Source organism: Homo sapiens, chromosome 19, assembly GCF_000001405.40.
Source record: "Homo sapiens chromosome 19, GRCh38.p14 Primary Assembly".
Taxonomy (NCBI): domain Eukaryota; kingdom Metazoa; phylum Chordata; class Mammalia; order Primates; family Hominidae; genus Homo; species Homo sapiens.
The window spans coordinates 28,296,147-28,320,535 of NC_000019.10; the positions used below are offsets into that span (position 1 = coordinate 28,296,147).

General features: G+C 45.6%; 2 annotated features.

The window, feature by feature from the left end:
* Positions 7,285-7,821: an enhancer, noted in NCBI's record as "OCT4-NANOG hESC enhancer chr19:28794338-28794874 (GRCh37/hg19 assembly coordinates)". NCBI's record gives its function as "activates a minimal SCP1, AML or CMV promoter by ChIP-STARR-seq in naive and primed H9 embryonic stem cells {active_cell/tissue: H9 hESC(naive and primed)}" and the evidence as "EXISTENCE:reporter gene assay evidence [ECO:0000049][PMID:30033119]".
* Positions 17,221-18,420: an enhancer, noted in NCBI's record as "CDK7 strongly-dependent group 2 enhancer chr19:28804274-28805473 (GRCh37/hg19 assembly coordinates)". NCBI's record gives its function as "activates an origin of replication core promoter dependent on BRD2, BRD4, P300/CBP, MED14 and CDK7 cofactors, with strong dependence on CDK7, by STARR-seq in HCT116 cells {active_cell/tissue: HCT116}" and the evidence as "EXISTENCE:reporter gene assay evidence [ECO:0000049][PMID:35650434]".

Consider the following 24,389-nt stretch of genomic DNA (forward strand, 5'->3'; position numbering starts at 1 on the left):
ATATAATTTAATCTTCTTTTAACCAGCTGAACTTGTAAAGCTATATGTGAGCCAAGCTAAAAACTTCTCTGGTCGCATGCCCTTCAATTGTATCTCATTTAACCAATAAAATTTTCTCCATTGACTTATTTCTTTGACAAAGATTGCTAATCAGTTTAAAGAATGGTGCACCAATTTAATCACAGGTCTAGGCCATGGCAATGCTCCAGAGAGTACCAAATGGTAAAACTGTGATGGGACAGACGGTGCGTAGGTGACCTAGCTAGAAACTAGCCCAAATTAGGTCCAGAGGAGATGCTGAGGACTTCTAGTTCCAGCATCTCCATTTCTCTTATAAGGAATGTTATTCCTTATAAGAGGAATAACCTCAGCCTCTCGGCTGAGAGAGGCTTGGTGATTTGCTCAAGGTCACACAGCCAGTAAATGTGATCAGACGGATGATCTCTTATTTCTCAGTCCCTGTCTTGTTCCTCACCTCCCACTGACTTTTATTACCAAAAAAATTTTTTTCCAGTTGACCACAGGATTACGAAACCTTAATGAACTTCAGCAGGATGAGTAAAATGTGACACCGGAAATACTCACCCACAGTATGGAGTAGCTATTCCATGACAGGCAGGGATCCTCTCACTCTACCACTCTGCCAGCTAAGCCTGTGCATGGAGGTAGTGGGGGGTGTACAAGTTGGCCCTCTGTGTTTGCATGTTACACTCATCCAGAAGAGCAGACAAGAGAGGATTGAGGACATGAATCTGATTGGGATGGAAGCCAAGAAAGAGCAAAAAAGAAACTGGCTGGTCTAAGAGTTAAACTACCATTCAACCCAGCAATTTCATTCCTGGGTATGGATCCAAAGGAAAAGAAATTCTACAAGAAAGACCTATGCACCCTTATGTTCATTGCAGCACTGTTCACAATAGCAGAAACATGGAGTCAACCCAGGTGCTCACCAATGATGGACTGGATGAAGCAAATGTGGAACATATACACCATGGAATACTATGCAGCCATAGAAAGAATGAAATCATGTCATGATTCCAGCAACATGAATGCAGCTGGAAGTCATTATCCTAAGTGAACTCATGCAGAAGTGGAAAACCAAATGCCTCACGTATTAAGTGGCAGCTGAACATTGGGTACTCATGGACATAAAGTTGGGAACAACAGACACTGGGGAATACAAGAAGGTGAAGGGTGGGGTAAGGGCCGAAAAACTACCTATTGGGTACTGTGCTCACTACCTGGGTGATGGGTTCAATCACTCTCCAAACCTCAACACCATGTAATATACCTTTGTAACAAAACTGCACAGGTACCCCTTGATTGTAAGGTAAAAGTTTAAAATAATTAAAGACACCCAAATAGCTAAATGAATTCAAACAAATGTACATTTGAATAAAAACACTCAATGTGGCAAAATCCTCACATAATTAGAGATACCCTTGTACAGGTCCCAGTATCTAGTAAATGCTCAAAAAATGAAGGGAAAAATAAACAAAACAAACAAACTGGCGGGCAAATGTGAGCAGGAAGATGGCCTGAGCCTATGTCTGCAGGCTGCCTCCACACGGCTGACTCCACAGGGCTGCACTCAGGACTGTGAGCCACCTCCGCCAAGTTGGGCTTCCGTACGCCCCTGAGCAGTGGCAGCTGAGCAACGCTGTGCAGGAAGCAGGCTGACAATGTGCACAAGTTCAACTCGCCCAAGCACGTTCTTCATTTCAGTGTTTTAAAACCTCATGCATTCCTGCCACCTCTCTTCATTATAGACACTGCTGCACATAATCCGTGCAGTGAGGGGTGAGCCACTCGGCTGGTCTCCCATCTCTGGGCCCTCCCCCCTCCCCATTGCCCTGGCAGGCAGACTGGATGGCAGAGGAGAGGCCTTTTGATTGAGACTGGAATGAATCTGCACTGTTTTCAGAAGTAGGTGGACACGGGGAAGCCTGCATATTTCTCTACCACCCAGTGAGAATTTCTCATCCACCTGCAGAATTGCTAGGCCTCATTCTTTTGTCATCACAGCTTTCTATTTCTAGAGACAGGGTCTCACGCTGTCACCCAGACTGGAGTGCAGCAGCATGATCATAGCTCACTGCAGCCTCAACTTCGGGGGCTCAAGTGATCCTCCCACCTCAGCTCCCAAGAAACTGGAACTACAGGCATGTGCCAATTTTTATTTTTTAGAGATGGAGTCTTGCTATGTTGCCCAGGCTGTTCTGAAACTCCTGGCTTCAAATGATCCTCCTTCCTTGGCCTCCCAAAGTGCTGGAATTACAAGTGTGAGCAACCAAGCCTGGCCTTGTCATCATAGCTTAATGCAATTGAGAGTGGGTCAGTTCTCCAGGCTGGTTAACACCAGCATCTGTAGTCAAGGCTGCTAAAACAATTTAATTTGAGGGTCCAGGGAGGACTGAGAGAAGTCCTGGAACCAGTGTTGGGAGAACCAATAGGCAGTGACCCTAAACTTGCTGAGCCTCAAGGCACAGAGCAGAGAACACAGGGAAGGGCAGGAGCCCAGCCTTCCCCCGACATCCCCCCCAACCTCAGCTCTGCCCACTCTTGAAGGTACAGCTCATGCCTCCTCTTCCAGGAACCCTTTCCTGACTATCCAGCCACAGGGCTGACCACTTCTTAAAATTCCTATGCACTCAGGGCTCAAAACTCACAGTCAAATTAAATCCAGCAAATATGTATCAGTTTCTGGACACTAACAACATGGTATTTGTCTCTAGGGTAGCTCATCCCATGCTGGAGGTGGGGACTGACGGAGAGCAAACCTGCAAAATGCACCAACCAGCTCCACGTGTTGCTGGCACATCAGAGGGTGGAATGGATTGGGAAGGATCCATAGAGGATGGCCTCCCAGATGCTGTGATGGTAAATGAGAGGCCTCCTGGATTCCCCTTATAGTTGGGTTCTAAAGTTGACACAAAAAGCAAGGCCATGGATGGTCAAGATGATTCTTGAAACTCTCTTAGAAAGATGCCATGCTGGAGATAAACACACTTGCTCATAGTGACTCCATTCAACCAGCCTTCCCTCCAGCATTAGGGTAGACCTGCTCACTCAGTTGGCTTGTACTGCAGGGCCATGGTATAAGGAAAACCAGTGTCTTCAATGACTGAAGTCACAATCAGTGATGTGAGATGCTTAGGTCTGGAGGTTCCGGGACCAATCTGAGCTAAAAAGCGGTGATAGTGATTTCTGCTCTGTCCTCTCTGGGGCAGACACATGCAGCATATCATGGGCACAATTGTCAGTGCTGTTTAAATTGTATCCTCTCTCTCTCTTAATTGAACTTTTGTCACTGACATGTTGTGTGCTGGGCTTCTCTGCCTAGCTTCCTATGTGCTCTACAGGTGCATATCTGTCCCATCCCTCAGTTTTATTTATGCAGAATCTGCTGCATCTCTGGAAGATTTGTGAGCTGACTGCAAACACACCAAGAGTAAGGGGAGCAGATGTTTTCTCTCAGCCCCGAATCCCACTCAGAGTGCACACAAGCCATGGCACAGAGCAGGGGCCCAGAGCCTGCTTGCTAGAAGGATCCTCTTTCTCCTTCCCCAGAGACTGCACAGAAAGCACCCCGGCCCCTTCTGGGGATGTGTGCCATACTCATGGTGCAGCTCTGCAGCCTCCTCCTGAAAGCACTTCCTCCAGAGGTGAGCAGGAGTGCCTGTCCCGGGCGTGGGAGGTGGCTGGGTGCATGGCAGGAGTGCCTGTCCTGGGCGTGGGAGGCTGCTGCGTGCACCACAGGCGTGCCTGTCCCAGGTGTGGGAGGCTGCTGGGTGCACCCCTCCTGCAGCACCAGGGCCGCTTGGTGCAATGCCTGCAGGTGCTCAGGAGACTTGCCTGTCTGGGCTCCTTCCTGCCTGCTGGATTTCCTGAAGAAAGGGTCTAGGGAATAATGCAGGGCTTGGATAGTCATTGTACCATTGGCCCCCTGCTAGGGAACCCAGGGATGAGAAGGGGAGGCTGCAGGATTTAAGGGGAAGTATTCTGGACAGATTTTCCTAGCTTGCTTTTAAACAGGTTTGAATAGTTCACCCTGAGTTGGTGACATTTCAGCTTCCTTCATCTCTCACATTAGGGGCAAACTAAAATATAAAGCAAAAAAGTCATTGAATCATCAGGGCCTCCTTTTTCTCTTCTGTAAAATGGGAGCAATACCACTAATCTCACAGGATGGTTTTGAGGATTGAACAAAATAAGTTAAATGTGTGGTGAATAAAAGAGAAGGAAATAGTGTCTTTCACAGCAACTTGGGTGGTGCTGGGGGCCATTATCCTAAGTAAAGAAACTCAAGAACAGAAAACCAAATACTGCACTTTCTCACTTATAAGTGGGAGCCAAGCTATGGGTATGCAAAGTCATGTACAGGGGTGTGATGGACACTGGAGACTCAGAAGGGGGAAGGTTAGGAGGGGGAAAGGGATAAAAAGTCACCTCTGGGGTGCAATGTACACTATTGTGGTGACGGGTGCACTAAAATGCCACACTCCACCACTATACTATTCATCCGTGTAGCCAAAACCACTGGAACCCCCAAAGCTAGTGAAATTTAGATAAATAAATAAATCAACAAATAATTTTACTTAGTACAAAATGTGTGGCAAGCTGTAAAGTCTACAAATGCTAAGTGCTGGCAGAAAAAGCTTTGCCTTTCAGGGGAGACAGGAAGGAGAGCAATCAGGGGCCTCCGGAGGCCATGTGCGCAGTCCCAGGAGAGTGGACCTGGGGGTTGGAGGAGCCCAACCCAGCAGGAAGAGCTCGGAGCACCTGCTCCTGCCTGAGCAGCATCCGTTCCTCTCCCGGGGGCTTTCCTGTGCGGCACCCCCTCATCTGTTTCCAGCTCATGGGTGTGGGGTTGGGGGGACATTGTGAGCTGACCCCACGCCCAGCCCTAGGACTTTCCAGGCATGTAAGGGGTAAGTTCTCTTTGTGATGAAGCCAGCTGGTGACAGGCTCGAGTAACAGGTGATCAGGAGTCCTCTTCACCATGGCACATTTTGAAAAGCCATGGCATGCAGGGAGGGGCCAGATAAGCCAAGGCCTTTGCTGTCAAGAGGACGAAGCACAGAGAACTTCTTTCCATGAACTTATCTACAGCCGTCTCCAAACTCGTCTCAAGCTTACTGGAAGGCACAGATGCAGGGCAGCCCTTGCCGACAAGAGTACCCACTGCCTCTGGCTTCTGTCTTGCTCTCAGCCCAGAAACAGCAGTAAACATCCAGGGAAAGGTGAACTCCGCATGTTCTCAGGGGATTCACATTGGACCTCCAGAGTCAAGACGCCTCTGACAAAGGGACGCAGTGTTCTGAGGCTCTTGTCTTCCTCAGAGAAGAAAGACAGCCTCTTGTTTTAGCAGTTGCCAAAATTCCACTGGCATGCCAAGTGGTGGCAGGTGAAAATTTGGACAACCACAAAGCACTTCTGACTGTGAAATGTTCTGCCACAGCTGCAAGACAGAGAGACTGTTTCAGAGACTGTAATGACCCACAAAACAGATTGTCTCATTACCTCCTGGGAACCTGGTCCATTCCAGGCAAAAACCTCTTCCATTTGCAACTCCAGATGTTGGATCTCCAGTGCCACTGTTGCCAATCACAGTAGTTCTGGGTCTTAATATAACAGGTGCCAGCTGCATTAGATTTTTCTCTGCTGCCTCTGCTGGGTTTCATTTTCAACCTGCTACAAATTAGAGGGACTTCTAGCAAGTCATGTTTTATAACCATTTGTGGGATTGGAGTAAAATCCAGCATGGTCACCTCACTGTTTCATCTGCTGTTGCTTTGTCTTTCTGTCTGGAAGAGCTGGATCCTTTAAGTAAGGGAGTCTTAGAGGCCGTATCATCATGTTTCAATGATTTATACATTTACTGGACTCACTCCCCTTCAGCCCAGTCTAAACAGATGGTAGGGAGAAAACTGAGCCTCCTGCACCAAACTGTTCTGACTCTTGGAGCTTTCTTTGCAGTCGCATTTATTGTGCATTATTCCTGTTGTCAGGGAGGCAGGTTTGAAAGCTGCAGCTAATTAAGAAGCCCACACAAAACCACAGACACACAGCCTTCACTTCAGGGTGGCCTAGAAGCACAGCCACCAACTGAACCCTGCACGGTTTGATGCCATGCCAGAGAAAGTGAACCCTTGGTTACACGGGATTACCCGGCCCATGGAATATCCACACTCAAAGCTCTATCCAAAGAGGTAACTCAGAAGTGAATGTTCTCAAGCTTTTGGCTGAGCCAATCTCTAAATAAGTCAGTCTAGGAGAATGTTATCATTGGACCAACCAAACCACACATACTTGGACCCCATGGAAATGCTGATGCTTTCATTGACTGTCGCCTTTAAGTCATTTTGCACCTTGGATTCTGTCCAGGCCATGTTTAGGAGACTGTAAGGTTCATTGTTGCAGCAAAAGCTCTGAAGGCCAAGTGTCCTATTCCAACTCTAGCTGTGTTTTTTACTAACTGTGAGGCTTTAGGTGCATCTCTTAACTTCCCTAAGCTCTGGTTTCTGCATCTGCAAAAGTCCCTCTCTGAAAGTGATGGTGTATGTCAAAGACATGGAGTCAACCTAGGTGTCCATCAGTGGACTGGATAAACAAAATGTGGTACATCTACACCATGGAATACTATTCAGCCATAAAGGAGAGCAAGGCCACAAACTTTGCAGCAACATGGATGCAGCCGGAGGCCATTATCCTAAGCAAACTGACACAGGAAAAGAAAACCAAATACCACATGTTCTTACTTATAAGTAGGAGCTAAACACTGGGAACACATGGACATAAAGGTGAGAACAATAAACACTGGGGGCTACTATGAGGGGGAGGGAGGAGGCAAAGGTCGAAAACTACCTATTGGGTATGATGTTCACTACCTGAGTGATGGGATCATTTGTACCCCAAACCTCAGCATCAGGCAAATTACCCATGTAACAAACCTGCACCTATACCCTCAAATCTAAAATAAAAGCTGAAATTATAAAAAAAGACATAAAATAAAAATGATGGCACATATGCATCTACCAGATAAGTGGGTATCAATAGCTTTTGCCTCCTAAGCCTCAATTTTCCCTCTCCTAGCAGCCATACCTCAGTTTTTTTGGGGGGGAAATTATGCCTCTCTACTCTCAGTTTTCTGGGTAAAAGTGAAGGCAGAGGGTGATCCTGCCAGTAATTTCAGACTTGAACACGACACTTAGACCTGGCCAATTGGGGTTTCTACCGACCTGGATGTGTGGTTGGCACAGGATGTATGCACAACTCAAAGGGTCTAATGAGAGAGCCCCAAGCTCTTTCTTCCTTATTATGTAGGGTTAGGCTCACAGGAGGTGCTTTATCAGAGGGATGGCGGTCCAGGTCATTCTTAATCTTTCCTGCTGCTGACATCGCTGTTCCAACATGGCCTTTGGACATTCCATTTCAGATCCTGTGCTGATGAAACAGACTTGTGAATATGGCTCCTGATCCACAGGATGCAACCTGAACCACAGAAAATGCTGAGTTCTCCAGAGGCTGTCTTCGTGCCCTGCCTGTTTCCCTTAAGTGTTCAATGTGTGCTGATGGCTTCCTGCTGTGAGGGCCTGAGACTGTCCCTGGAGAGCTTCCTAAGAAACATCAGGGTTCTCACTCAGGGCGGGCAGGAAGCGCTGAGGAGCTGATGCCTTAAGAACGACCTTCAGCCAATGATGGGAAGGACTGAAGGTTGAGCGCAGCAGACTCCTTCCCTCAGGAGGCACAGCTCTGTGGCCTGGGCTCCACAGGGTCCTCTGGAGTTCTGCCTGAGCCCCGCTGTCCACAGCAGTGATTGGCTCTTTAATAAGCAGTGTCTTCTCTCTCCTCCCTCTGCCTCTTCACCCTTCTCAACTGCGCTTTCTGGGTTCATCTCCTGAATAAACACTTGTTCTAAAATCTTTGTCTCAGGGTTGTTTCTAAGGGAAAACTCAGCCTAAGGTAAGTCCTTTCAGACTCAAGATAATGGGTCTATCCCTGGATTGAAACAGAAGGTAGAGGTAGGATGTGGTGGCTCAAGCCTGGAATCCAAGGCACAGGATTGGGAGATCAAGACAGAAAGATAGTTTTAGGCCAGGAGTTTGAGACCAGCCTGGGCAGCATAGCTAAATGCTGTCTCTGCTAAAAATAATTTTTAGTAGACAAATTAGTTGGGCATGGTGTTGCACACCTGCAGTCCCAGCTACTCAGGAGGCTGAGGCAGGAGGATCACGTGAGCCCTGGAGGCTGAAGCTGCACTGAGCTATGATCACACCAACTGCACTCCAGCCTGGGTGACAGAGTGAGACTCTGCCAAAAAGAAAAAAGAAAAAAAAGGAAAGAAAAGGAAATACGAGGTGGAAGCTAGCCTGGTGCAGTACAGAGGGAGGGATACATCTGATGTGTCATCTCAATAGAGTTGTTTCACAAATTGATTCCAGGACCCAAACATGAAAATCTGTTTTTGAATAGACTGAAATTTTTTTACTGACATATGTTGTACTTTAACATCACAGAATCATACCGCTGGAAAATTAGCTCATTCTTTGAGTTTTAAGCTCTTTTTCTCTAGCAGTGAGTTTTCTTCCCCAATGAAACATTAATAGGAGGAAATATTGATTGAGCGCTTTCCCTGTACCGTATTTGAGCACTTTCTGTACTCATTTTTTACTTAGTTTTCTCAATATTACTGTGATGTAGTTTTCATTATTTTATACAAAAGAGAATTAAAATCTCACATAGACACTCCTCGCCATCATATGAAATGGATAGATGCAAGAGTTCTTTTGTAGATGTGACTGGTAGCCATAGAGTCCACAATGTGAAGGGCATTCTTAGACAGGATTGTGCATTGGGAGACTGCAGGGACATGAGATAATCCTCCCCCTGGGAGTAGGGACACAGCAGCACACAGCTTTCCTTTGAGATTTTAGAACATACCCCTTGGTGAGTCATCTGCAACTCCTCTCTCTCTCCCTCACTCAGCCTCACCTTCTCACCAGCATTCCCCAAGACTTGTTTCTAAAGCTCAGCACAGATATCTATATAGACACACAATGGCATGGCCCTGCCACTATACACATCCAGATGTTACACTCACCGTGAATTTGTAATTAATAGCATAGCCCCTCTTTTCAAGGGAAAAAAGAAGTATTCAAGGAATACTTCTCCAACCATTAGAGGGATGTCTTTCTCCCCTAATAACCCTCTGTTCTTTGCAATCTTAAACTGAGTCTTCCATGCTTACTCTTACCAACCAATGTGGCAATGAATATGGCCAATCCCAGGCCTCCCTGCTGATGAAAGTCCACCCAATCACCAACTTTATACTGACTGATATGTGCCCAGAAACTCTTCTGAAGGACACATCTTCAGTTTTGCACAGGTTGTGAAGTGTACCCAAGTAAACTGAGGGGGTCTTCAGGTCAGGGTCTAGACATCAAGGTCATGTGCTGCTGTCAACACCCCAAACTGCACTTAGGGGCTGTATATGGAACCAGTGAGGACTCTGTGGCAATTGTGAGAGGGTGCAGCTTGAAGCAAGGTTCAGGCCCCTGCCGCAGTCACCACAACGTGGGCCTCTTTGCTGATGTTCATAAAAGACTCGTGGTTAAGCACTGTTGCTCAATCTTGCTGCTAGTTATCTACTCAGAAAAGAAATCATTTTATAAAAAGACACCTGCACTTGTATGTTTTTTTGCAGCACTATTCACAATAGCAAAGTCATGAAACCAACCCGAGTGCCCTGCAATGATTGGCTGAATAAACAAAATGTGGTAAATATACACCATGGAATACTACATAGTCATAAAAAATTATAAAATCCTATCTTTTGCAGCAAGCTAGGTGGAGCTGGAGGCCATTATCCTTAGTGAACTAACTCAGAAACAGAAAACCAAATACTGCGTGGTCTCACAGAACTAAACAGAGCTCCCCACTTAGTGGGAGCTAAACAATGGGCACACATAGACATAAAGACAAAAACAATAGACACGGGGGACCCAAAAGTTGGGGAGGGAGGGTTGAAAAATTACCTATTAGGTACAATGTTCACTATTTGGGTGATCAGTTCACTAGAAGCCCAATTCCTACCATTATATAATATAGACATGTAACAAACAAGCACATATATTCCTGAATCTAGAATAAAATATATATATATATGTTTAAATAAAGGGCTTCTGTAGCTGGGCGTGGTGGCTCATAACTACAATCCCAGCACTTTAGGAGGCCGAGGTGGGTGGAGCACTCGAGGTCAGGAGTTCTAGAGCAGCCTGACCAACATGGTGAAACCCCATCTACACTAAAAATACAAAAATTAGCCAGGCATGTTGGCACATGCCTGTAATCCCAGCTACTTGGGAGGCTGAGGCAGGACAATCACTTGAATCTGGGATGTGGAGGTTGCAATGAGCCGAGACCGTGCCATTACAATCCAGCCTGGGCAACAAGAGCAAAACTTTGTCTCACAAAAAAAAAAAAGAAAAAAGAAAAAGCCTGGGGGGTGGCTTTTGCTTAGAAGTGATAGTCATCCTCCTGAACCAGTGTCTAGGATTGTTAATTTTGCTGTTGAAAATCCCGTAAAGGAAATATGAGCATGTCTTCATTATTTTAGACAATATATACTGAATTCTGTCAAGTACTATTATATGTGCCATGGGGAACCACTCGTGGAGTTTTTGTCTTTTGTGTTGCTTTTTTTTTTTTTTTGAGACAGGTTAGATTGTGGCTTATTGCAGCCTCAACTTTCCAGGCTCAGGTGATTCTCCTGCCTCAGCCTCCCAAGTAGCTGGGACTACAGGCCCATGCCACCATGCCCAGCTAATGGCTAATTTTTGTTTTTATTTTTTGTAGAGATGGAGTCTCACCATGTTTCCCAGGCTGGTCGCAAACTTCTGGGCTCAACCTATCCTCCTGCCTTGGCCTCCCAAAGTGCTAGGATTACAGGTGTGAGCCACTGTGCCCAGCCTCACATGGAGTTCAAAAGCTAGGAGAAGATGGAAATAAGGTCAACAAAAAAATATATTTTACATAGTAATAAAAGCTCTGAAGAAAATTGAACAGGTTAATGAGGAATAGGGTAGCACAGTGGACGGGGGATGTGAATTTGGATGGGGTGACCAGGAACCTCCCTCTGAACTGGCCATTCTGGAGGGGAGACCTGAAGGATGAGGAGCCAGCCATGAAAGCTAGAGAGAGGCCGGGTGCCATGGCTCAGGCCTGGAATCCTAGCACTTTGAGAGTGCCAAGATTGGAGAATCGCCTGGGCCCAGGATATCAAGACCAGCCTGGGCAGCATAGCCAGTTCCTATGTCTACAAAAAAATAACAAATTAAAAAATTAGCTGTATGTGGTGGTGCGTGACTGTAGTCCCAGCTACTGGAGAGGCTGAGGCATCAGGACTGCTTAAGCCCAGAGGCTGAAGCTGCAGTGAATTATGATTGCATCACTGCATTTCAGCCTGGATGAAAGAGTGAGACTGGGAAGGGAAGGGGAGGGGAGGGGAGGGAAGGGAAGGGAAGGGAAACAAAGGGAAGGGAAGGGAAGGGAAAGCAGGGCAGAAGAAAGAAGAAAAAGTGCAGCCAACTGTTCTGGGGTGGAATGAGCTGGGCATATTCAAAAATCAGTGAGAAGACTGCTGTGCAGGGGATGGGGAGAGAGGAATCCCACATGTAGGAAAGTGCAAACACTTAATGTTTGACGGCTCCCCCTGCTCCAGAGAGTGCTGAATCCATGGATCCAGGCCTGTTCATGAATCCTCCAGAACCAAGAACAGCGCCTATAACCAGTTACCAGCTCCTGTCACCTTCCCTTCCAGGAGGTCTCTCTAACATTGGTTGCTGTTAAGTCCAGGCTGTCACTCTCTCCCCCCTGGACACTTGCCCCACATTCTCCACAGTTCTTCCAGCCTCCAGCCTCATCCTGCCCAGGCCACCAAACTCATTTTCCAGAAGCACAGTTTAGCATAGGCCATGCCTGTTCAGAAAACTTTCCTGGCCTCCTGCCAGCTGCAGGACCAAGTCCAGGTGCCTCCACCTGGCCCTTGGGGCCCAGCCCCACAGACCCACCCTGTCCACATCCTCTTCCCATGACTTTCCCGTGCCTGTGCTCAGCCAATCTGTGCTCACTGCTCCCATCCCTGAGCTCCTCTTCCCCAGCTTCAGGGCCTTGGTCCAAGCTGTAGCCTCCTCCTGAAATGATACTTATGATGGAAATAATAATGAAAATGTAGATATCGCCTTGATATTCACAAAGCCCTTTCTCACATGTTATTTTCTTCATCTTCACAACTTTCTAGACAGCGTCTTGCCTCCCCTGTACAAATATAGCTCACCCTTCCAGGCCTAGCTCTAGCGGCACCTCTTCCAAGGAGATCACTCAGATCTCTCCTCCCTTTGTACCATCTTGGTCCATCATCTGCCCTCTAATGGCCATCATCATGTTCAGTCGTGAATGCTGTCACTAGTCACTCATGCTGGTTCCCCCCACACTAGGCCATCTCTTTGAGGGCAAGAACTGAGTCCAGACTCTCTCCATGGCACCCGAGACAAGACAGCAGAGGGTCAACGAAAGAACAAATAATGATGGTTCAAATGTGTTTCTACCTGAAAGAGTGAATGAATGCATGAAGAAAGTCCCAATCCTTAGTGTCTCCATACATAGGAGACAAAAATAATGCAAAACCTTTTCTATAACATGAAATCAGCTTAAGTTTCAACGGACATTTGTGCTGTAAATAGTGAGAAAGGGGATCAAGAAAGAAGTAAAAGATCCAGTCACTTTAAAACAGTGACTGGAACAATCCCAAGACAAAATCCAAGAAAGGCCAGGCTCTCTCCCTCTGATACATCCAAAGCAGGTTCATAGACTGCATGTGGAAATGGCAATGTGGTTGCTGTGAGAGGTGTGACGGGAGCCCCCACCCCAGCACCCATGGAACACCAACGGCACTCAGCTGCTGCACATATATGTGTACTTGAGCTTATACATATGGGTCTCTACCCTATTGAGGATTTCAGTGGCTTTTTAGCCCGAGGACAAAGTTCCCTCCCCTCACATCATCTCTGCAGGGCCCAGCGCACCATCTGTGAGCAGCTGACAATATCTGCCCTCCACACTGCCTCAGGAGCTTGCCAAAAGCTACTCAGAATCAGAAGTGCAGTATTACAGCCAGATGCACTGAGGAAGTGTGCCTCCACTCCTGACATTAGCCTCTGTGTGCTCACATCAGCCTGGGATACTGGGGGCTCCATGCCCGGGGTAGAAGGAACGCTATAGATGGCCAACTAGTGTTGCACCAACCAGGATCTAAGCAGGAGTTGCCTCCTCGATTAGGAGTCTGGAGGAAAAGCCAATCATGTTTCTGGATCATACTCTCCAGTTGCAGCTGGAGTTATTGAGACTTAGTGGAATTTATTTTATTTCTTTGACAAACACTGCCATATTGCATACCAAATACTGTTTTTAACACTTGATAGGTATTAATTCATTAAATTATCATAACAACCCTATGGGATAGGTACTATTAGTATCATTTTACATATGGGGAAATGAGTCCTGCAAATTTCCGTAACTTACCCATGGTCATACAGCTCGTAGGTGGCAGACCCTGGATTTGAACCCAGGAAGTCTGTGTTCTTAACATCATATGATACTGTCTGTGTAAGTTAAGGGCAAAACATTTGGGTGCAAGACCTAACACCCAAAAGTTTACTGTCTCTCCTCCTCTGCCGCCTCCAAAAGCCTCAGACTAAGCAAGACCATCTTCACTGTTGGTTTGGAACATTCTGAAGCTCATCAGAACACTAAGAAACTGTGTTATAGTGAATCAGCACAGAGGCCACATAATGTAGCACCATTTAGCTTTGGAGCAGGCTGCTTTCCCATGGACCTTTCTGAGTCCATGTCTCCTTGTTAGTACAAGAGAGATATCTACAGTATCCCACAGAGGTGTTTATGGAATTTCACTGAAATAACACATGTGAAGCACACAGGGCAAGGTCAAGGATCTAGTAAATTCTCTAGTAAAACATTTGGGTGCAAGACCTAAGACACAAAAGTCTCTGTGCTGAACTAAATGCTCTTAGCTGATGTGGTTGCCTGCATCTTACAAACACAGGTTCTTAACCTGGTAGTCCATGAACCTTACTATGCAGAAGAATAATGAGGAAAGTTTAATAAATACAGACTCCTCAGTCCCACTATGCAAAATTCTGATTCATTAGCTTTCAAAGGAGCCCAGGAATTCATGAGGGATCCCAATACAAGAGTTCTCAGATTCTGAGGCATCCATGACTGCAAAGAACATCACAAACAACTGCATTCAATTCTCTGAAATTATAAGAAATATCCATTGTTGAAGTAATTGATGACCTTTGGCCTCCTTATAATGAACACAAATGGTAATGGGAGTTGGTGACAGAGTGAATGTGGTGGCCCTGCCAACTGTCCATTCTGCTCTCTCTGTAAGGACAGACACTTCCCAGACATCCTCTGCCTTGTAAGGAGCTGGGTTATCTGTAATAAGAACTGATATTTATTGAGTGCCTACCAGGGGAAAGCCACCCTTCCAATGCTTTCTATACGTTTTGTACCCAGTTCTCTGACTAAAATTACTATCTTATTTTATAGATGAGAGAAATGAGGCTTTAAGGGTTGCCAAAGTCACCTAATAAAGTTAGAATTTCTGCTCTGTCACCAAACACCTATTCAAAGCCTAATGCCTTCCATTACTATTCCACTAGGAATTAAAATTGGTGCATAAGGCACGTTATGTTTATTGCAGTACTATTCACAATAGCAAAGACTTGGAACCAACCCAAATGTCCATCAATGATAGACTGGATTAAGAAAATGTGGCACATATACACCATGGAATTCTATGCAGCCATAAAAAAGGATGAGTTCATGTCCTTTGTAGGGACATGGATGAAGTTGGAAACCATCATTCTCAGCAAACTATCGCAAGGACAAAAAACCAAACACCACATGTTCTCACTCATAGGTGGGAATTGAACAATGAGAACACATGGACACAGGAAGGGGAACATCACACACTGGGGCCTGTTGTGGGGTGGGGGGAGGGGGGAGGGATAGCATTAGGAGATATACCTAATGTAAATAACAAGTTAATGGGTGCACTACACCAACATGGCACATATATACATATGTAACAAACCTGCACATTGTGCACATGTACCCTAGAACTTAAAGTACAATAAATATAAATAAATAAGCAAAAATAAAAATAAAGTCATTCAGAGTGATAAATAAATAAATAAATACTGGTGCATGAGGATCCAAAATTTCTAGCCATGCTATATATCTATGAGACATGACCTTCAAATGACCTGATATGGACTGTTGACATAAATATCAGTTATAGTCTCAAAGGCCTCATAATAACTTAGGTTTTTGCATAAATGAAGGAACATGACATATAATAAAGGGTGTATATACAGAGTCTATTAATGTGTTTAGTTTTTAACAAATATATATAAGAGTAGATAACAAATGAATGTTGTCTTTCAAGAATGCCACCTTGTAAATCTGTGCACTTTTTTCCAGCGATATGGCCTTTGTGCATAATATTCTTGGACCTCTTCTTTTAACATAGCTTCCAGACCTGCTTTTTAACCTCACGAAGAAACCAAAACGTTATTTTAGAGTTGATTTATCTGTTAGATTAAACATTGTATTATCCAGTTTGAATGCTCTTTGAACACATTTTGAATACTTCCCAATATTATCCCCTCTCAAAAGATGCATATTTATCTCCCTGAGGAAGAGTCAAAAAAAATGCTTGTAGACAATCATGGTACTTCCCAAATTCAATGCAAAAATTTTTGTGAACAAAGATCATATGCTGGCTGGAAAACTCTGGACTACACATTACACAAAACCCAACCCATGTGACTTAAACAGTAAAAGAAATACTGTCTTATGTGGCAAGAGAATGGAGTAGGGAAATTGAGGCCTTTGGATGCACAGAAGTGTTATCAAGGACAATTTTGGATATTAAGTTCCTGGGGAGTTTCTATTAAAATCAGCCAAATTACTTTATGGTCACAGTACAAAGAAGTCTCAGTAATCATAGAAATGAAAGACACTAATTCAGTCAGAATTAAAAAGTTATAAAGAATAGAAACTAACTCTGGCCAATTTAGGTAGGAAAATAAAAATCTACTGGAAGAACATGGCGGAGCTCCCAAAAATGAAAGCTGAAAATCCAGGATCAAAAACGGACAAGCACCGGAGTAGTCCAACATTTCTGCAGAGGAATCTGATTGGCTGAGCTTCTACTCGAAGCCTGCTCATTGGCCAGGGGAGGGCTGTGCACCCTGATTAATAGCCCCACCAAAATGGTCCTCAAGGGCGACCAAATGATTCCTCGTAAGGAAGATGTCATATCGCGGCAGAGAGGGACTTGGAGGCCAGGAGGCCCCACACAACAAATACTCAGTACAAGCCTCATCAAGGCAGATCTTGCAGACACTGACTTAGCAGATCTAATCTTGGGGCTTGCAAAGATGACAATGTCAGCGCTGACTGTCAATCTTCAGGAAACCTTGTGTGATGGCTGCTGTCAGCACCCAAGTCACTCCCCCATTCCCCTCGCAAAGCCAGTGCATCTACACCATCACTCACAGCCGGCCACTTCTTTGGAGAGCTTTTCTTGTTCAGTAGGATTCACCTTACCCAGAAATTCCTGAGCAGCTATCCTCTGTCCCTGGGTGTGTTTATCTGCATTATGTGGAAAAACAGAAGCAAAAAGACATTTTAAACATTTGCTCCCAATGAAGAAGAAAATAGCCTATCATTTTATTTAACAATAAATGAAGTAAAAAAAAATATTTACAACCCCATAGAGATGTTTTTGCATTCTAAATTACATGAAAGAGGCCAAAAGCTAACATTTTGACCTATTTGTCCAGCACTAAGTGGAGTAATCAGGTAACCACCACTTCAGGAGCCTGCCCAGAAGGTGGTCGCACAGAACTAATCACATAACCACAGCAGCCTGTGTACATCTCACCCCAACTCTGACCATTTGAATAAGATCAGAAGAAAGTAATTATAGGATTCACTTTAATGTCAAGCAACAAAGAGAACTATATAAACTTGGAAAATCGACCTTCAAGATATAGTCATTTTTATTTTTAAAAAAAGCTTAAGAAAAGACACAAATAATTGGCTCATTTTTATGAGATTGAACTTCAAGGACAGACATTTTTTGGAAGTAAAAGTCGTCTAGCAGCATTACCTGGTGCCTGACCCATAGCATCCCGAAAGTGCCAAGCATGTTGGCACACACTGGGAGAGCCTCGTTTCTAGTTCCCCAAGAAACCAACAGGGTCCCCACTTCCACTCTCTCTCTTCAGGGTAAAAATGTAACCACTTTGGCATCAAAAAAAATTCTGAATTATCCACTTGGCTCATTGAAGATATTAATTTTCTGGAGGAAAAATAATTCCCAACACTTACTACAATGATAAAGGAGACTGTTGTTTCAGCTGGAATGGATTCCGTAAAAGCTTGATGTTTCTGACTTGGCTAATGGAGTGAGAGGGCACGGGTTCTGTCTGCGGGTAACGCAAATCAGTGCCGCCACCATCATTCAGTGGGTGTCAGAGCTGGCCAGTGCAGTCCCCGAAGGCTGCTTGCCAATGCTGGGAATAAATGATTTCCCCTCTTTATTTGCTATGTCAAGGAATGATAATGGAGCACATTCCATGACCATTTGTCACGGAAGCGCAGTCCCCTCCATGGGGAATGTGTGGGAGTAGCAAGGACCTAGTGTTTTCAATTAATCAGGGCCAGGATTACTCACGCAGGAAATGAAAGAGAAAATTTAATACTTGGAAATCGGGTGAAAGCAGCAACCAAGTCTAATTAAAATACACTTTCTGCTTCGAATTTACATGGCAGGATCCATTTTATGAGTCACCTTTATTCTTGTTGCATTTCTCTTGCCCCTGGAAACTGCCTTAGGCAAAAGCACCCAGGAGTTTACACCTGTGCAGGTGGTTTCTTTCCAATGACCTCACGTGAAGGCAAGACTGGTCAAAGCAGATGGGTTGTGTGGCCATGTTCTTCCTCCTGGGTTTTGGCGTGGCCTTGAATTATTCCTCCTTGCCCTAGACTGTGCCCAATGGTCATGTATGTCGAGCACAGCTCCTTATTCCCAATTGCAGCACCTAGAATTCTGCTATTGGCTTCAAGGTGCAAGCCCGACAAAGCCCTTTGGCTGGCGCACAGCTCTGTGTGTAATTAATGGGTGATTTGTAGCAGGCTTGTGCCTCGAATGCATTGTTTCTCTCATTTTCCTTTCTGGTGGGGGTTGAAGCAGCCCCAGGGGACTGCAGCACTGTCATGCCACAGCAAAGAGGCTCCTACCAAAAGGCAAACTAATATACACTGTGTAGTCCTGAGCAAACTAAGCACAGACAGGATTTGTTGTGGCTAATTAGTTTTATCACTTCACAAAAACCTAGGTTCCTAGTTTCCAGAGAAATAATTACAATTGCAAATGAAGAGGCACCACTGAAGAAGAAGGTCTTCAGCACAAAAGTAACCACAGACCCCCACAGCATCTCCCCTGCAGTTTGAGCCCTGCCAGGGATCAGCTCTAGGGGTTTGGAAGCCCTGTTGTCTCCCTAGGTGTGGATGACACACACACATCCACTAGCATCTGTTTCTCTGTTAGTTCACAAAAGATGTGTTCAGGGGTCAGATCTTTACACACACCTGCACCCGATAACATGATGTATCCTGGCAGATTCGCGAAAGACTCACAATGCCATGAGTATCCATGAATCAGTGCAAATGGAAGACCTCAGCTTTGAGAAGGCCACAGGAATTTCAGTCAGTCACAAACCAAGGCTGGGGTCAGGGTCATTTCCAGTGGGACCAATGAAGGTCCTGTACTTAAGGGGTGAAGAAAGACAAACAAGAAGGAAAGAAGAGGCTCCCTTTGAGTTGCTGAGTAAAATCAGAAATTAAAAAATACTCTGACTGTAGGTACATGGAGTACATAAAGTTGAATAACTAGTTTAAAATGAGCTTTACTTTTCAACTGATGGTCTTAATATCTTTTAGACTCAACCATGACTGTGAAGCGAAGGAAGAAAGGAGTGAATAGTACAGAATCTGTCGATACATGGATATAGATCCAGATCTATGCATAGATGTCTATATATCTAAATGTATGTAGATATATCCATTTCCATCCCTATATATCTGTGTGAAACCACTTCTCAATTAAAACTACTCTTGCTGCTGCCAGACACATCTCCCTTAATGACACCTGCATTGGAGAATGTATAGGCACTGTCGAATGCTCAAATGTGAGCTCATTACCACATTGGGTTCTAGTTTAAAATGAGTCATTGTCACTATTTCTCTGCAAGTCTTAAGAGTAGCTCCTTTTTTGTTCGTTCTGACTTAGCCCCAACCCAGTTTCACCTCTGGTTTTAAGTGATAATATTAAACCCTTGGCCCATGCCTTTGCTCCTGCGAAGACTCACATGCTAAAGACTGCAGTTCTCACAACCCAGCAGAAAGGGGAGTCTAGGCCTGCCCTGACTGAATCCAGGAACAACTGGCTGGGTGGAGAAGATCAGCCAGGGGCCTGCAAGTCTCCATGCCTGATAGAAAGAGCTGCATAGACCAGGCTCTGCCCTCCATACAGAAAATGCTTCATTATTTATCTGGATGTAGAAAGGTGGGAAATAGAGATGTTGGCATTCAGCATCCCCACATATGGGAAAATGCCACGACCTTGCATGTGACCTTCACCTTGTCACCTGTCCTCCCCAGGCAAAAAGCAACTATCTTATTGCCCTTTTTGTGATTAGAAGCACCTCTTCCAGCACAAGATTGCATAGGCTGCCTGTGCCCATCACCAAAAGTCTCAGACCTAACTATTTCCCAAAGCAAAAGACTCATGGCCCTTCCCTGTCCCCTGCTGCTGAGCTCCTAGGCCTAGTCCCCCGTGGCTGCTGTGTCCTAACGCCTTTGGAACCATTGTCTCCTTGGCCTGTTTGCTCCACCCAGAGAGAGGGTCAGGGTGGTGACCTCCCCAGGATGTGTCTGCAGGGTGCAGACTCTCAGGGCTGAGCTCTGGGATTCATCCCCAACCTCTACCAAATCCTGCCTGCTCCTAGAGCAGTGGAGAGGCAGAGTGGATGAGCTGTACCAGAATTTGCCCTTGGCCTGTATCTCAGAAAACTCCCCATGAAATAACACATTTTAGAGGGAAGAAGAAAGACCATAGACTTAGAGATAGGAGATTAAATCTGACTATGGTAAAAAATGTTTGAAAAATTCGTTATCTCTGTTTGTTCACAACACTCACTCCAGTTACACCCGTCACCCCAGAGCAGCAGACTTTTGCCTTCTTAACTTGTCAGAACCAGTGCCCAGTTCTCCTGGGGCGTTTTAGATGCTGATCTCAAGCTCGCCAGGTGGTGTGAGTGGGCAGCCAGGTCTCTCATCCACATGAGTGATCTCAGCATCTGTTCTGCCTGTGCCATGAAGCTCCGCAGGGGCCCTTCCAACCCTGGGAATGTGTTGCCAACAAGATCCCTTCTGTCCCTGTCAGGCAGAGGTGGCAGAGCACTCCTTGGCAGTAAGCTTTGTACCCGAACCATTTCTTTTTTCACAGTCTTTAGATAAGGCAGTTTGAGTTCATTTCAATAGCTGGTACTTCCCGGGTTCTGCCAACTGCCTGTGTGCTGTGAGGAGAGGAGAGAGCTTTTGTGAAATTAAGATGAATTTCCTCCATGGTTTCACCTTTGTTTACACATTAATAATACACTCCCCACACCTGACCGCACGGGCTGCATTGCAGCCTTCACTACTGCTGGCAGCTGTGCCACTGTCCCCTCCATCCACAGCCACGTCTCACGTCTTGCCTTTGCAGGATGCCCCCAACTTCCCCCAAGCACTGCCTCCACATGCTGTCCCTTAGAAAGCGGCTTCCTGAGGGCTGGTGTTTCCCAGAAGCCTCTCTCTCTGGCTTTGCAATTTCCCTCTTCCTGCAAGCAGGTTTCATCTCTCAGACTGAGATGCATGGCAGCCCTCGCCAGCCTGGAGCCCTTCCCAGGGTCACTTCACTCACCTGGACCCCTTCTAGAGAGCCCCGTGGTAACTGGTTATCTCCACACATTCACCTCCGGGGGTGGGGCCTGCGTCTTGGAACACGCTGAGCGTATCTAGTAATGACAAGGGAGAGTGGAACCATGGGGGATGTAGGTGGAACCATGACTTCTGAGATATTATAGCTATTACATACACACAAACATGCATGACCATGCACATGCAACCCCCCCACACACACAGAAACACACACACCACAGAAACACACGCACAGAGAAAGACACACACACACCACAGAAACACACACACCACAGAAACGCACGCAGATCCCACTGACTAGTTGGGAAATGTTGGTTTTTTTCCTTTCTTTTTTTTTTTTTTTTAGAGGGAGTCTCACTCTGTTGCCCAGGCTGGAGTGCAGTGGCGCGATCTCTGTTCACTGTAACCTCCGCCTCCTGGGGTCAAGTGATTCTCCTCCCTCAGCCTCCCGAGTAGCTGGCATTACAGGCATCAGCCACCATGCCTGGCTATTTTTTTTTATATTTTAGTAGAGATGGGGTTTCACCATGTTGGCCAGGCTGGTCTCATACTCCTGACCTGAAGTGATCTGCCCACCTCAGCCTCCCAAAGTGCTGGGATTACAGGCATGAGCCACCATAACAGGCCAGGAAATGTTGCTTTTGTGATAAGAATTTGGCATTGCTCGGCTCTGCCTGGTCTCTCTATAAGAGATGTATGTCTACACTCAGGAATCAACCTGGTGCTCATTTTTAGCCAGGTAGGTTAAAAAAATAGTAGACCTTCCCCATGCATATTTTTATGTCTTCATTGATCTACAATGATTGCACATATTTCTGGGGAACATGTGCGATTTTGATAATGCTTCCTGTGTGTGTTTGTATTGTTTCACTCATGTGCCTTCTAGGGCACCCCTTTTCCAACCATTCACAATCTGGCAGCTCTTCTATTATTTGGTTAATGTAAAGAAAAATAATAGTAACACTACATTGACATTTTGAAAATAGAAAAATGAGTGGTTGGCTTTTTGCTCTAGAACTCTGCTTCGAGGGGCTGTGTAAGCAAACAGGATGGTCTCCCCAGATCATAGGAATTTAGTCAACGTGAGCCCTCAGCCTGGCGCACAGCCTCCTGCCCTGCAGCCTGTTTCTCTTAAGCTCTGTGTGGAATGTGGTCATCTCCTTGGTTAAAACCAGCTCCTGACCGAGCCTGGTAATTTATAGTGAGCTTTCCTCATGACCATGCTGAAGTGTCAATCCCAGGAGGAGCCACAGCTTCATCACCATAACACGCGACCCATGTGCTGGCAGGGACTCACTGCATCTGCACCACTGGGACCCCTCCTCTCCATGCAATGGCGCACCCTATCCCCCTCCATCACCTCATAAAACCCTCCCTTCCCTTTCCCACACTGCTTTGGAGAATATGCCCGTGTCCTCCTTACATGTGCCAAGTAATAAAACTCCTGTTAATCAACACCTGCCTTCTCTGCCTTCTCGTGGAGAGTCGCTTGTCTCTCACCAGGTAGACAGATTCTGGTTATTTTTGGGAAACAGCTGGCCCATATCCAGATCCCCCAGAGAAGAGGAGCTGAGAACATTTCTGTTCAGGGCTCACTGGGCCCTCTCCTCACCTCCAGGACTAGGCAATGACCATCTGGGTGCTAGAAGGAAGTGCTTCTACAAACTTGCTCCAGCCAGATAAAAGAGAACAAGCCCTTCATTTGCTCACTTCCTTTGCAAGCAGAGTGTTGCTCTGCAGTGTGCTCCTGAGAGGAAAAAACTGCCCTGTTGGTTCAGGTCAGTCAAGCCAAGCTCAGTCACAGAATAAGCAGGCGCAGTGGGGGCAGAAGGTAGGGAGGGCATGGGGAATGTGGTACCACTGGGGCGGAGAGCAAAGCAATGGGGAGTCAGTCTCCCACATGTGTCTTCTATCAGTTTATTTATTCACTCAACAGACATTTATTGAGGACCAACCATGTGCAGGACTGATCTGAGTCCTGGGGTAGAGGCGTAAGTAAGACAGATGAGGTGCCTGGTCTTAAGGGGTTTGTATTCAAGTGGGAGCCAGGGAACAAGAGACATACAATAAAGATGTAAGTAACTAAGTTATTTTCAGATAACCACTAGTCCTGGGAAGATAATTAAAAGGCAGTGGGAGGGAGGGTAATAATGTTTTAGAACCCAACTGGGGAGTACTAGCTTGGTGCAATAAAACCAGATACCCACAAGGAGGTTTTTCAGCAATAGAAAGAAAAGCTTTTATTGCAGTTGCCAAGCAAAGACGACCAGGCAGCTATTGCTCAGATCCTGACCTTCCCAATGGCTTGCAGGAAAGGATTTTTAAAGGCAGGGGTAAATTACAGGAAAACAGAAGCCACAGGCAAAATCATCAATCAATACCTGGAGGTTACACATTGGTTTAGACCTAAAAGGGTGTGATATCTTGAAGTGGGGACTTACAGGTTATAAGCAAATTCAAAAACTTTGCAATTTGCAATTGGTGATAAAAGAGCAGCTTTATTTAAAAATCTGGGGTAAGTAGAAAAAATGTCCTTTTTTTGAGATAGTGTCTCACTCTGTCATCCAGGCTGGAGTGCAGTGGCATGACCATAGCTCACTGCAGCCTCCTGCCTCAGCCTCTTGAGCAGCTGGGACTACAGGCGTGCACCCCAGTGCCTAACCAATTTTTTAATGTTTTTTTTTAAATAGTGAGATGGAATGTCACTATGTTGCCCAGCTGATCTCAAGCTCCTGGCCTCAAACAATCATCCCACCTTGGCCTCCCAAAGTGCTAGAATTACAGGCATAGCTACCTTACCAGGCAGGAAAAGAATGTCAACTGGCTAGGGTGAGTGACTTTCTCCAAGACCCCCAGGAAGAAATTTATAACAAAAGATGATGGTTAAAGTTCAGTCTTCACTTCCCACTTACCTGAGGTCTGCATATTGGCTGATCCCTTCAGTGTGGGTCCCCAGTGGGGGTCTGAGTTTCTGAAAGACAACTCAGAAGTACAGGTTAAGATGTTCTCCTTGGATTCTTTAGGAAAAACAAACATCCCTAGGACTCTAATTTCCTCAGGTGTCCTTTAGGCTACTATTGCCTTCTTTTTTAATAAGTTACTTATTGACTTCTGGAGCTAGCTAGGTGCCTGGAACTTCCCTTGAAGGCAATCATGATTCTCCTTGATTTCCATGTTTGGGGTCTGCAGGCCCCTAATAAAGGGGGCTCCTGCTCCATCTCAATAGGGAAAGAGAAACTAGATCAGGT